This window comes from Homo sapiens, chromosome 2 (assembly GCF_000001405.40).
Source record: "Homo sapiens chromosome 2, GRCh38.p14 Primary Assembly".
Lineage (NCBI taxonomy): Eukaryota > Metazoa > Chordata > Mammalia > Primates > Hominidae > Homo > Homo sapiens.
This window is the reverse complement of record NC_000002.12, coordinates 132878248-132893635: the sequence shown is the minus strand read 5'-3', so window position 1 is coordinate 132893635 and position 15388 is coordinate 132878248. Positions and strand designations below refer to the sequence as shown.

The 15388-nt window shown below is 39.5% G+C and overlaps 1 protein-coding gene across 20 annotated transcripts in view; it reads left to right on the top strand.

Annotated features, from left to right (window-relative positions):
* NCKAP5 (NCK associated protein 5) overlaps nt 1–15388 on the top strand; it is a 1003049-nt gene that overhangs the window by 781201 nt on the left and 206460 nt on the right. For all 20 annotated transcript variants that reach the window (XM_017003975.3, XM_011511100.4, XM_047444134.1 and 17 more), the window contains one exon: nt 14720–14788. In XM_017003975.3, the coding sequence (XP_016859464.1) occupies nt 14720–14788 (69 nt within the window). The remainder of the gene's footprint in view (nt 1–14719; nt 14789–15388) is intronic.

Sequence of the window (15388 nt, the reverse complement as noted above, 5' to 3'; positions counted from 1 at the left end):
TGTATGTATCCTTAACAATATAATTTAATTTTTCCAGTTTTTGAACTTTGTATGTAGAATCATGTTGGAAGATTTTGTGTGTGTGTTTAAATATATGTTGTGCCTCTTTCATTCAATGTTATCATTGCCAGATTCAATATGCAGTTCTCATTCACTGGCTTTTGTTTCTATATAGTATCCCATTATATAAATTGATTAATAAAAATTATTCATTGTACTGTCAATCTTAGTTTAGATGATTTCTGTCTGAGGGCTAGAAAACAAGACTGCTGTGAACCCATGTGTACACCCACCCTGGTATATGTGTTTGCGGGTACCTACAGGGGTTATACCTAGCAATGGCGTTGCTGGGTCAGAAGCTATGAGCATCTTCTCTATCAGCAAGTTGAACCAAAGTATCCTAAAATGGGTGTAGTAATTTACACACCCACCAGTGGCACATGAGTGTGCCTGTTCTTCCACATTCTTACCAACGCTTGCCATGTAAGATGTTTTCATTTGCACCAGTTGGGTTGGTGTGTAATGGTATTGTTGTTGTTTAAACTTGCTTTATAAGTGGCTTCCTCTTTTGGATGAAATGATTCCTAGAATGACTATGTCTGTGCTTTTTTCCTTTCTGGTTTTTTTTTTTTTTTTTTCAGCTTTTTTATAGATCAGAGGTCAAGAATTCCTATTTCTAGAGAAATTCTCAGTCTTTTTCCTGACCTGAATTACCTGCTTCTTGGTAGAGAGGGTTCAAACACGCTGGTATTTAGGCATTTATCAGGCTATTGTCATTTATATTTTTTTCTTCAAAGTACTGTATTAAGTCCTTAGTAAGGAATAAGGACTGTGTATATAAATAAACTATCTCTGCAACACAAAGGATTTATATTGATAGTCTCTTATTTTCTTCATCTGTAAAATGGAGCTGATCCTATCTACCTCAGAGTTTGGGGGCCTTCAATTAAATGAGGTAATAAAGTCAATATATTAATTGATATTCTTTTCTGCAAATCAGTCAATGAGTTTTGCATAGTTTAACTTCTAAAATACCTGGTGGTTAATGCCACAAATATTCTCTACTCAACAGAGTGATCAGATTGTTTTACATTTTTTAGCTCCATGAAATTTCTCTGTGAGGCTTCTAAAACCGAAAAATCCACTCTAGTCCACCCTAGCTTGAAAGTCATAGATTTGTATCTCTGAAAGCACATCTGGTGGTGGGGGATGGAATATGTTTTAAGGTTTAAAGGTTGTTTTTACAAAGAAATTTTGGAGTCCCTAAAATTTCAGCTTCTCTCATAATTGGAAAATACGTGTTGTATCTTGAGCTCAGATATGTAATATTGAGTTGATAAATGTAATAATGAGTTGATAAATGGGCATCTGGAAGCAGAAGTAAGAAGGTGAGAAAGAGAAGAAGAAAGGGTGAGAGAGGAAGACTGTGGGTTAAAAGAATCAGGACCTGACGCTAATCTGTATGTGAGCCTGTTTAAACTGTCCAATCCAGAGGACCCATGGTACATTTCTGTTGGCCAAAATCTCTCCCTCAGCAGGGACAATTTCTGGCCTGGCTGACACCACCACCCCCTGCATTAAAGCCTGTGAGTGGCCGTGGTTACAAATGGGAGCTGTTTTACAAAAGACTGAAGGAAACTGCCATTCACCAAACCATACAGAGGGCCAGGCTCCATGTTCGTTACATTCTGCCTTCATCATCTCATTCAACCCAAAACAGTGACAGACATTTATTTTTACATCCATTTCAAATAAAAGGAAATTTGAAAAGCACGCCGTCACTTCCCATCAGATTATCTTACTCTCCTCCTAGGAAGATAGATCTGCTTTACCACTCCTCTTGCCTTCGCACTCCAGGCATGGATTTCTTTTCTGTATATCCCCCTGGGCAAGGAAATTATCGAGCTGACTTCTTGTATCATGAAAGCATTACCGTTTATTATTTTCCAGATGTAATGCAGCATCAAATAATGGTTTTCCAAATCACACACAGTTTTTTTCTGTTCTACTCACCCATATGCATATGCACACACAGAGAGACACTGATCTATGCCCTTAGGCTGTTTTCTCCCAATGAGAGTCACTGATGTAGGAGAGAGAGGCAGACTCATAAACAAAACAAGAGAAGGAAAAGTATAAAATTGTGTGGTTACCACCCCCCAGTTCCAGAGAAGCAGTAAGAGACTTCTGAATGCTTCCAAGGCAATGGCAGCATGGGGGAAGAAGGAGGTGACACCCACCTTCACCCTGAAGTTGATCCATCTTGAGCACTAGCTCTCAAAGTGCTGTTCCCAGGCCAGCAGCAGCACCTGGGAACTTGTTAGAGATGTCAGTTATTGGACCCTACTGTAGGTGCCCTGAATCCAAATGTGAGGGTGGCTCCCCCACAGTCTGTGATCCCATAACCCCCCAAGTGATTCCAATGCACACTCAAGTTTCCAACCACTGGCCTGAAGCCCCATCCAAACGTTTAAATTCTAGAAGTACACAGAGGTTTCATTATGAAGTGTTTTCTATTCAACTCTTCAAAAATGAACCTGTGGACAGGTTCTACATCACATCTTCTCACGGCGTAGCTCCTCAACTTTTTTAAACAAAGACTTCATTTTAATGTAGTTTATATCCTTAGTGTCTTGTGCTGGTCCTAAACCTAATGGGTTGAGTCCAAGAATAAGGACATTGTGAGGATGCCTTCACACATGTATGGGTACACGTATTTGTTTCTCTGTAGGTGGTCAGAGCTTAATGTCTTTATTGACATTTTCTAGGATGATAACATTTGCCTCCAAGATGCCCAGCAGCCCTAGACATTGTCTGGGTCTGGATACTGTACAAGCTCTCAAATACAATCAGTGGGGAACACCCTTTAGCCAACTACGCTACACATATGGCCACTATGGCAGCCAGGTGTGATAAGATGAGTGATTCAGAAACCCCGTAAGTTTGAATTATAATCATAGAGGGAAGGGGATTCAATATTCCAGCTCCAGTTCTTGGTGTTCCTTGTATTCAGACTTTATATCACTCTAGCAGATGAAAATGCACTCACCTGGCTGGCACGCTTAGCCACTCCCCTGGGACTTTTTCCTCAGGATGTTTTTAAACAGCTTTCAAAACAGAACAGACTGCAGGGGAATTAGGAACATTTTGGGGACCTGTGTATTTTGCTTGGAAGCCTGTAGTTTTCACTGTCAGAAACTAACTTGTTTCTTCTATTAGACTATTTTTTTTCTTTATGGTGGCCTCTCTATATTTTATCCATCTTTGTATACCCCCTAGCATAGCTCCTGCAGGTACAGCCCTTTGGCCTCCCCAAATGAAATTGTTGGGATGGCCTAGAGTTGTGAAGTGTGTTATTTAAGTAGAGTGGCACAGGACTCTGACACAGGCTGGCCATCATAAAGCAGCACATTTTTGGCTGGAAAAAATTCCAAAGAGAAAATAAAGTACAGAAGCACCTTTTCTTACCTATGGGGCCAAACCATGAGTTGAATTGGTATTTTAGAGAAATACCTTTTCTGATCTTATTCTGACCTGTCTGCCTTTCCTGAATTGAAGGAGTTTCAGCAAGCTTGAAAGATGTCACTCTGGAAAAGACCAGCTTTTGCCGTGGGAAAGCCACAGGGAGGCAGCCTTTTTTAACTACTGTGAATTGGTCGTTTTCTTCTCTTTCTCTCTCTTTTTGCCTTCAGAGGACATCTTCTTTCCACCTTCTTTCCTCCACACCACTCAACCCTGTTCATTTCTACCTGTTTCATTTGCATATGATCAGTTTGTTATTTTATTTATTTATTTTTTTTGCCATTGTTGAACCCAAGGTTTTCTCTGCAGTGGGTATTAGATAGTGTCTGACATTATTTGCTTTCATAATAATTTGACAATATTTACATCCAGGATTCTAGCCTGGTTGAATAATGTGCTTTTTGAATACAAGTCAGGTGTCATTTTCTTGGCATTTTGTTCAAAACTGTGTTATTTTTATTTAGTCCAATGTGCACCTTTGTCATTGTTTTGATTGCCTGTTGAGTAGACTGATTCAAGGGTCGGTCACCTCTTTCCTACCTCATCTGAAGTTTGTTGATTTTTTTTTTGTTCTGATCCTATTGCATTGTAGTTTTCAATGTGAGAAATTAACTTGTTTCTTCTATTAGACTATTGTTTTCTTTATGGTGGCCCCTGTATATTTTATCCATCTTTATTTTCCCCCAGCATAGCTCCTGCAGGTACAGCAAAGGACCAGTAATTGAATGTACACATAAAAGAATTGATGTTCCACCTCGTTTCCTGAATATGACTGTTCCACTTATTTATTGCTATGTAACCAACTATCTCAACACTTTGAGGCTTAAAATAACAATTTAATTTTTCTCACAATTTTATGGGTCAGAAATTTGGGGAGGACACAGCTGGATAGTTCATCTCCAATCTATGTGATGTTGGGAGGTGAAAGGATCCATTTCCAAGATGGCTCCTTCACTCCCATGGCTGGCCTCTCAGTGTCCCCTGGCCTATCTCTCTCTGCAAGGCATCTCATCCTCCAGGGCCTGTCTGCATAGCTGGGGCTTTATACCACCTCAAAACATTCAGACTGCCTACATGGTAGCTCATATAAGAAGTGTTCTAAGAGGCCAGGTAGAAGCTTAAAAGCTCATGGTGTAGTCTTGGAAGACCAAAGATGGCACTTCAGCCTCCTTCCATTGGTCAATCAAGTCAGTAAGGCCAGTCTAGATTCAAGAAGATAAGTCACAGAGCATTTGCAACCATCTTTAATCTACTACTACAACAATACTAGTAATAAATGCAGTTAACATTTATAAGTGAGGGGCAAAACCTCAGTCTCCTCTACTATTCAATATAACGAAGTACAAGCTTTAAATATTTTGTCAGTTGTCAGAATGTGTCAGATGGTGTATATTCATCTTTCATTTTGAAAATATACACACTGGGCAGGGTGCAGTGGCTCACGCCTGTAATCCCAGCACTTCGGGAGGCTGAGGTGGGTGGATCACTTGAGGTCAGGAGTTCAAGACCAGGCTGACCAACATGGTGAAGTCCCATCTCTACTAAAAAATACAAAAATGAGCTGGGCATGGTGGCACATGCCTGTAGTCCCAGCTGCTCAGGAGGCTGAGGTGGGAGAAATTGCTTGAACCCAGTAGGTGGAGGTTGCAGGGAGCTGAGATCATACCATTGCACTCCAGCCTGAGTGGCAAGAGACCCTGTCTCAAAAAAAAGAAAGAAGAAAAAATATAGACATCCTAATAATAAATCAAATTTATATTGATGTTTGCAAAGGGGAAAAGTTGGTTATCACTGGTTTAATTTCTCATTTGTCTATAATATTTTTAAAAGATACATCAGTATATATCCACATGTGTGTATGACCACCACTGAGATGACATAGGTAAAAGTACATATTCCATGCCAACAAACGCATTGATGCTAAGTGAATCTAAATATCAAACTGAATTTTCATTTCCACCCATAGCTATAGTTAAAATACACTAATTTACATCTCACTCCTTTGAAAAGAGGCGTATAAAGCATGATCCCTGTCTCAAAGGGCTTAGAGTCTAACTGGAGAAGACTAATAATACTCATGAAACTACTCATCTCAATTGAAGGCATTATAATAAAGTGCTAAAATGTGTGGCCCCTACTTGTGATAAGGTTCAAACTAGCAAATGCAGGAAGACTAGTAGAATTTAAATCACTATTTATGCTTTGGGAGGCTGAGGTGGTAGGATCACCTGAGACCAGGAGCTCAAGACCAGCCTGGACAACATAGCAATACCTTATCTCTACAAAAATGTTTTTAAAAATTAGTGGAGTATGTTGGCACATGCCTGCAGTCTCAGCTACTCAAGAGGCTGAGGCGGGAGGATCACTTGAACCCAGGAGTTTGAGTATGCAGTGAGCTATGATCACACCACTACACTCCAGCCTGGGTGACAGAGCCAATAGTCACTATTTGGCCAATGGGAGTGTAAAGCATATTCCATGCTAGAGCAGCAAAACCAAAGGCACAGCCCTGGAAGGAACACGGGAGCTTTAGGAGATGAGCCCGACTCTTGAGATGGTGTGCGCTGTGGAGAAGCAGACATATAAGGTCATAGAAGTGAGTGGAGACAAAGTATAAGAGGTAACAAGATAGATATTATATTGGTGCAAACATAATTGCAGTTTTTGCCCTTAAAAGTAATGGCAAAAGCCACAATTACATTTGCACCAACATGGATGGATGGATGGATGGATGGATGGATGGATGGAAAGATGGATGGATGGATAGATAGATAGATAGATAGATAGATAGATAAAATAAAAGTTGCTATGGGTGGATGGATAGATAGATGATAGATAAAATAAAAATAAAAGTCGCTATTTGGCAACCACCACAGTCATAATTGTTTTAGTCAAAAAAAAATTACCAATAGATACTAAGAGGAGTGAACCAAAGTTTAGATATTTGCATATTTGCAATCTCAAAGACTCTGGATATTTACATATCTTGAAGTACCTTGCCGCAAGATACTTACTGTTGATAAAAGGAAATAAATAATTTTATAGTGGAGAAATGTCACAGATACCACCTTCACCAGGTGATCAAATTTAACATACAAATTGAGTATCTTTATCCAAAATGCTTAGGACCAGAAGTGTTTCAACTTTCTGATTTTTTTCAGATTTTGAAATATTTGCATTATGTATTTACCCAGTTCAGCATTCCTAATCTGAAAATCCAAAATCTAAAAGACTCTATTGCACATTTCTTTATTCATGTTGGCTCTCAAAAAGTTTTGGATTTTGGAGCATTTCAGATTTTCAGATTAGAGATACTCCACCTGTAGTAATAGGATAAATTGGTATCATGTGCCTCCTGATACAATGCACTAAGAAGGACACAATATCATTGCCATGATATTCTCGCCATAAATATTAAAATCTATGAAGAAACATCAGGCGAATTCAAATTGAAGGACATTCTACAAAATAACTGGCCTATACTTTTGAAAAGTATCAAGATCATGAAAGACAACACCTCAGGAACTGTTCCATATGAGAGGACGCTAAAGAGAAATTATAACTAAATGCAGCTCTGTGAACCTGGATTGGATCCTGGACTAGACAGGGACACCTGAGGGACAACTGGAAAAATCTGAACAAGGCCTGTAGAGTAGATTAGGCTATTGCATCAATGTTAATTTCCTGAATGTGATAACTACACAGTGGTTATATAGAAAATGTATTTTTAGGAAGTACATGCCGAAGTATTAAGAGGTAAAAGGACATTGCATTGTGTCTTCATCTTACTCTCAAGTGTTTTTAAAAAGTTGTCTCCAGGTATAGATAGTATTAAATGATAAGCAAATGTGGTAAAATAGTTAACCTTTGGGGAGTCTCTTGAATGGTGTGGGGGAATTCTTTGCAATATTTTGCTACATTTTTATACATCCAATTATTTTTTTAATTTAAAGGTGTCCCCATTTAAGTATTTCAAGTCCACATCTGAGCCAGACCACCAAAACTGAGTGAGATTTAGAAAGGCCAATGGGAGAGTAAAGCTTGTTCCATGCTAGAGCAGCAAAACCAAAGGTACAGCCCAGGAAGGAGCATGGGAGCTTTAGGAGCTGAGCCTGACTCTTGAGATGGTGTGTGCTGTGGAGAATCAGATATATAAGGTCATGGAAGTGAGTGGAGACAAAGTATAAGAGGTGAAAAGCCTGCAGCGGAGCTGTTATGTTATGCAGAGGACAGATTTTTGTGTAGAGCTAGTAGTCTACCTTTGGTCTGTGGAAAAGGATCTATTAAACAAATTTATAGTATACAAAGATTTTAAACATAATACATACTTACAGAATTAATGTAGGACAGTGGCTTTAGAAGCATCAGATTTTTCAATCATTCGTAAGTTCCAGCCAGCCTATCTATTCACTGAGCAGGACCTCTAAGAAACACAGTTCCTTTTACGTATCAAGTCAAACCCCTTTTCCACAGTAAACCAAACCAATACGGATTTGCTCTGTGATGCTCTTTGATTTTATAAGGACATTTAAGGATTTTTAGAGATGAAACCATGAACATATTTAGACCACTATAATTTGGAGCCATGGGGAAACCACGCTGAGCAGGAAATCCCGGGCTAAGTCTAGCAAAAGTTTTTGATTGTTGTGGAAGACAAAGCTGAATGCAAAGATTCACTGTTACATTTACTTGAATGCTCTAACTGCATCCTCTGGGCATATTGACTTTAATAACATACTTATTTAAAGTAGAAAAAGACCTGTATTGTGATGTCTGTAATTCTTAATAGTGACACTTGCATTTTCTCTTTCCTTTCCCTCTCTGCTTATCCTTTCCCATTCCTGCTATATAAATATTCACTGTTTCTTTAAATCACATTTAGTTAAGAGGGTTTTTTTTCCTGTTTTTTTTTTCTCTGTTGCCTTAAGTTGGTAGCAGGTTAATCCTGAATCTCTAATAAATGCAAATGGATTAAAGAAAATCATCAGTTCAAGATTATTTTAACTTCACCAGCATGATTGTTAATATCTTTTTTGTCCCATGGGATATGTAGGATTACATCAATTAAATTGGTCTCTGTAACTGAACACAGTAACCATAAATGTGACTATTGTGCTTTCACCAGCACCCTTTAGGTATTTAATTTGCTTGGCAGTAATAGATTGTCAGAGCAGTAAACGTGAGGCAAGTAATGTAAACGGTATAATGACGGTAATTATCTGAATGGATCGATTGCAGTGTTTTTGCAACGTGATATTGTGGGTAGGAGCGAGGTGTAGATATCCCATATAAATTCCCATTTTCAGCTTTATTTCCATACATGTTTTTTCCAAGACATTTAAAGTAAACAGTGTGAAGTGGCATTTGCAGTTCTCTCCTTTATCTCTCTTCCCATTATCCCTTGTACTGCTGGCTTACTAAAATCAGCAGACTCCACAAAAGGTAAATTTCTCCAAAGAAATCATGACTTTGTAGAATTGGAATTCTAGCATTTTCCTCCGTGATTCATGGTATCCAAATATTTGAACTGGAAATCGCTTTTAGATTGGCAAGTTGGATATCTTTGTTTATTAACTAAGAAATTATAAACCCAGCAATGGTAAGTGACTTGCTAAAAGTTACTCAAGATGGCATTGCCTAATAAGACTGCAACAGAATGGAACTGGAACCGGAGCCTGCTCTTCCTTTTGGTCTGGAGGAGGAACTGAGGGGTTCCATCTCAGCTGCAGAGACGGAAAAGCTTCCATGGGACTGGCCAAAAGCAATCCCTGAAGGGAACAGCAAAGTCAGTTTAGTTTGGTGAAGAATGAAGAGAAGAAACAGTCTGGGAATAACCAATAACTGTGCTTAAAAAGGGCAAACGGATGATCAGCCTGAGCACAGAAGGATCGTGCTGTGTGGCAGATGTCTGTCCATTATGAGACCTGAAAGAACGTGGCAGGATCCCACCTGAGGGACTGGGGTGTTCACAGGTTTGTTAAAACGGATTCAGCCCCAGAGCAACAAGGTCAAAGCCAAGGATCAAAACTGTAACCTGAAGAAGAAACAGTGTTTGAGGAGTTCTGGAATGTGAACCGTGACTGAGTTGAAATGACCTGACCTTGATCAAAATGGCAAGTCACTCTCAAACAGACTTTTTCCGGGAGTTTTCCTCATTTTTGTGCCCTATTCTGGTTCAATCATTTCTCCTAAGTTTCATTGTTGATTAAAGTAACAAACTAGCCTACAGTTGAAACTTTTCAAGCACCTGCCAAAGAAGACATTCATATCACCAGGAAACACAAATAAAACCACATATAACCCATGCCTTCTGCATTATCAATAACAGAGAACACTTGAATTTCAAATTACTGTAAGTAGAAAAATAAATACCAGATACCCATGTAACTCCTGCTGCCAGCGTGTGTGCCCAGGGAGATGGAAAGCAGAGGGCACCGAGGAAATGAGAAAGCCCAAGGCCAGCACTGCACACAGGTGGACACGTGGCAGATCCAGTGGGCTGTTGGGCAAGGCTGGAAAGTGAGCAGACCCAGGTGGCTGTCTCAGAGAGGCAGCCTGCCGGGAAAGAAGGAGATAAAGGGGAAAGAGGAGGTGCAGTGTGGAGACGTGGTTGTGAAGGGGAAAAGGAAAAGAGGGAATTTCAAAGCAATTTCTTTTGCTACAGAAGCAAAAGAACATAAGACCAACCAGCCATTATCCATTAAGGAGACCAAACCAAGGGTGGGGGCAAAGGTGGAAGAAGCCTGTGTGAAAATGATATACCCTGGCAAAGTAGGAAGTATGCAACTAATAAAATAGCAGGAAAAAAGGAGAGAAAGGAAGAAAGGTGATTGTTGGATATGTAATAGGAGGGAGTCAGAGGACATGGTGGGTGTCGTGTGTGTGTGTGTGTGTGTGTGTGTGTGTGTATTTGAGTCAGGGTCTGGTTTTGTCGCCCAGGCTGGAGTACAGTGGCACAATCATAGCTCATGCAGCCTTGACCTCCTGGGGCTCAAGCAATCCTCCAAACTCAACCTCCTTAGTAGCTGGGACTCTATGCATGCACCACCACACCTGGCTAATTTTTATTTTATTTTATTTTTAGTAGAGATGGAGATCTCACTATGTCGCCCAGGCCGGTCTCAAACTCCTGGGCTCAAGGGATCCTCCCACCTTGTCCTTCCAAAGTGCTGAGATTATAGGTGTGAGCCTGTAATCACCACACCCGGCCAAAGGACATGATTTTAAAAGTAACAGAGGAAGACAAAAAAGGGATAATGACACTATTAAAGAATCTTCGAGAGGTAGAAAGGAACGAGGCAGGAGAGGGAGGGACACTGCACTCAATATATACCCTTTAATATAGTTTTAACTTTTGGATTCTTGTTAATGTTTTATGTATTCTAAAAAACAAAATGTAATTAAGAAGAGAGGAAATTAAATTTGAATACTATCAGAAACAAATGAACTGAACCGAATTTCAAATGAATAATATAAACACACTAAAAGGGGAGGAGGGGAAAAACCAACTTAGTAACTTTGGAACACAGTATTTTTACTTTATACTTTTGTTCTAAAGAAAAACACAAAACTGAACTTTTCCTAGCACTGGTTTGGGTAGCGTACCAATTTTGTACACATGGTAAGATTGAACAAAGGAGTTAAAATAATGCTGAGAGCCTGAGTGCTAACCATACAAAAAGGAAGATACTAATATGAAAAGGAGAAGATACGAAAGAATCCTGTAGGGCTTGGGGTGGGGTGGGGGTGTTGAGCCTGTGCATGTAGGAGTGTGGAAAAATCCTTCCACTGAAAGCGACTAGAAGCAGTGACTCCTTGGTAGCAACTGATACAGGCTAACACCCAGATCTTAGTTCCCAATTATCATTCCCCAAGTAAGAGGAAGTAGAATTCCTTAGAGAAATGCCTGATTTCAGGGATTGAAGCAAGGAAAAAGCAAGATGGTCCTAGAACATCTCTTTTTGCTGAAAAAGAAAGTATTTAAGAAATGATGGGTACATGTCAAAAGGATATAGACACCAGCTTAAAGGGGCTCACCTGCCCAAAGCTGGAGTGATTTGAACATCAAAATTATCAGAATTGATGTTTTCATACTAACAGATAGGAAAATCACTTACCTATGGAAGAATGTCAACTCATAAATGTAGATAGAAAAATGGAGTTAGAAGTCACCATATGCAACCAAGGTAATCAATGATTTGGTTAAAAATCATTGATGGTTGCTTAAATAGGTAGGTGAAAGATTGATGAGCAATAGGATATTTTCATAGCCTCAAAGTATCTCCCCACAAATTACTTATTAATTGCAAGAGGAGAATCAGTAACTTTACAGTGGGGAGATTTGGCAGACCCTACCTTAACCAAGTGATGAAAGTTAACATGTCCAGCAGCAGGTCCCATGGATGTCACGTGGCTGCTATGATGCACTGAGAAGGGCCCAGCATTGCCTGTGCACTGTTTCCACCAAATATGTATGAGGGAGCTCCAGAGAAGCCCAAATTAAGGGATGTTCAACAACATAACTGGCCTCTACTCAGAAAGGAAAAAAAAAAAAAAAAAGAAAGGTAAGGAAGAAGAGGAAATAAGGGGGAAAAGAAGGGAAGAAGAAAATAAAAAACATAAAAAGACAAACTATTCCAGGCCGGGTGCAATGGCTCATGTCTGTAATCCCAGCACTTTGGGAGGCCGAGGCGGGCAGATCACCTGAGATCAGGAGTTCAAGACCAGCCTGGCCAACGTGGTGAAACCCCATCTCTACTAAAAATACAAAAATTAGCCAGGTGTGGTGGTGGTCACCTGTAATCCCAGCTACTTGGGAGGCTGAGGCAGGAGAATCACTTGACCCTGAGAGGTGGAGGTCACAGTAAGCCAAGATCATGCCATTGTACTCCAGCCTGGGCAACAAGAGCAATACTCCATCTCAAAAAAAATAAATAAATAAAAGGCAAGGTATTCCGGATTAGAGATTACCTGATGAATGGCAATGACAGTCGAATGCAGTACATGATCACAGGTAGGATTGTATACTGGAAAAAAATTGCTATCAATGACATTATTGGGACAATTGGTGAAACTGGAAGAACTGTAGATCACATTGTGGTACTGTATTTATATTTCCTATATTTCCTGAAATTAACAACTATACTGTGATTGTACAAGACAATGACTTTGTTATGAGGAAACACATGTGGAAGTATTTAGGAATAAAATGCATCATGTCTACAAGGTACTTTCCAGGTACAGAAAAGAAATGGAAAGGAATCGATATGGCAGATGTGGCAAAACGTTAACAATTTGTGAATCTTAGGAAAGGATTTGTGAGGTTCTTAATGCTATCCTTTTTGTTTTTTGATACATATTATTTTCTGTATTTATGGGTCATGTGATATTTTGTTACAGGTATAGAATGTATAATGATTGTGTCACAGTATTTGAGGCATCCATCAGCTTGAGTATTTATCATTTCTTTTTTCTCTTTTTTTTTCTGAGATGGAGTCTCACTATCTTCCAGGCTGGAGTGCAGTGGCATAATCTCCACTCACTGCATCCTGCACCTCCCAGATTCAAGTGATTCTCTCACCTCATTCTCCCGAATAGCTGGGATTACAGGTGTGCACCACCAAGCCCGGTTAATTTTTATATTTTTAGTAGAGATGGGGTTTCACCCTGTTGGCCAGGCTGGTCTCGAACTCCTGACCTCTAGTGATGCACCTGCCTCTGCCTCCCAAAGTGCTGGGATTACAGAAGTGAGCCACCAAGCCCAGCCTATCATTTCTATGTGTTAGTAACACTTCATGTTCTCTCTTCTAGCTACTTTGAAATATTCAATACGTTGTTGTTAGCTATAGTCACCCTACTCTGCTGTCAAAAAATAGAACTTACACCTTTTATTTAACTATATATTTTATCTAACTTATATCTGTAACCATTGACCAATGTCTCTTCATCCCCTCTCGCACCTACCCCAAATCCCAGCCTCTAGTATCTATCATTTTATTCTCTACCGTTATGACATCCACATTTTTAGCTCCTGTATATGAGTGAGAACATGCAATATTTGTCTTTGTGTGCATAGATTATTTCACTTAACATGACTTCTAGTTCTGTCCATGTTGCTGCAAATGATATTATTTCATTCTTTTTTATGGCCAAATAGTATTTCATTGTGTATACATACCATAATCCATTCATCCATTGATATAAGTTTGAAATTATTTCCAAATAAAAGGTTTAGAAAAACGGATGGGAAAAAACTATGAAGTTAAAATGTTGATCTGTGTACCACCTAAAAATCATACCATAATTTTGAAAATACTGATTTAGATTACTATACCCCTACTTCCAAATGTCAAGGAGGATTTTAGAGAAGGGGCACGTAGAGCCAAGATTGCTTGTGGGCTTAGAGCGGGTGGTCATTGTCATAGCCCTGGGAAGGGTTCACTGGCACAGTTGAAGATTCAGACAGGAACCTGCAGTGGAACCAGGTCACCTGAGGTGGAGGGCAGCTTCATATCAGCATTTCACGCTCCTTCTAAAACCTAATAAGCTTCCAGTGATTACTTTTCTTTCCCCTTACTATTCTACATGTCAACCTAGTAACCATATTCAACCACATACCCACATGGCTCTAAGGAGCGAGAAAGCAGTAATATTACAAGAGTGTGGGGAAGGGGATGCTTAAGTATAGTTCAAGTCTTACATTTCTCATTATCTTATGTACGTAAGTCATTGACTAACAATGAAAGTAACATATTTAGTTTGCATTTGGAATTATGCTTTCATGACTTTATGTGAGATTCTTTTCTGTGGCCTAAACAAATATAAGTCTGTGAGTCTGTGATGGGCCTTAATGAAGTGGATTAAGGCATTTCTCCCATTTACATTTTCACAGAATAAAATAAACATTGTAATCTTTTTACGGAACACTCTCACATCAAACCATGATTTGATTTTCTACCTGTTCAGAATATCAAGTTTTGCATTTCTTTAAGTTCTCATGTATTTTAGTGAGCAAGTTGGTAAGACAGAAGTCATCCCTGCGATATTTATAATAGTACTTAGAGTGAACTTGTCATAGGTACTTCTAAAAGATTGTTTTGGATCACGAGGAGATATATTTAGTAACTGTATGGAATAAGTTGTCACATAACACAACATTTCATTGATTTATTTGTGTTATTTTTGTATCTTACTGCAGGCAGAGAATTCAGCGTTGGCTTTGGAGAATGAAAATCAAAGGGAACAATATGAGCGATGTCTTGATGAGGTAAGGGGGATGGAGAGGCTCCTGATCCAAGGCTGGACTAGTTGGGATTCCCTTAATCTGATCTCAAAATGTGTGTGTGCTACCAGTATCCACAAAACATCAGCATTTTCTCCTCCAAAGAAATGTAGTAAACATGTAGCCATTGAAAAGGAAGTGTGTGTGTGTGGGCGGTGTGTGTGTGTGTATGCGTGCGTGTGTGTGTGTGTGTGTGTGTGTGTGTGTGTGTGTGTGTGTATCTGCCCCCCTCCCTCCCTAATTCCTTATCCAGGCATCTGTATATTCCTTTTGGTTGTTGTTTCATATTCTTGGGCCACAGTTTACTGCATGATAAATTATTTCTGTCCAATAAGTGTGATCCCTTCCAATGAATGAGAAGAACCATGTCGGGGCATGCTGCATCTCCAGTTGGATACCATTTCTGAAAAAGCAAATCCTTGATAGAGTGGGTGGGGATGATGTTCACAGTTGGCAACCAGAGGGAAAAAAATCAGTAGATTCAGAACAAGCCAAGAAGAGAAAGAGAAATGAGGAAGAAAATTGGAGCAGAATGGAAGAAGACAGGGCTATACGCATGAGTAAACTGGATAAATATTACGTGAT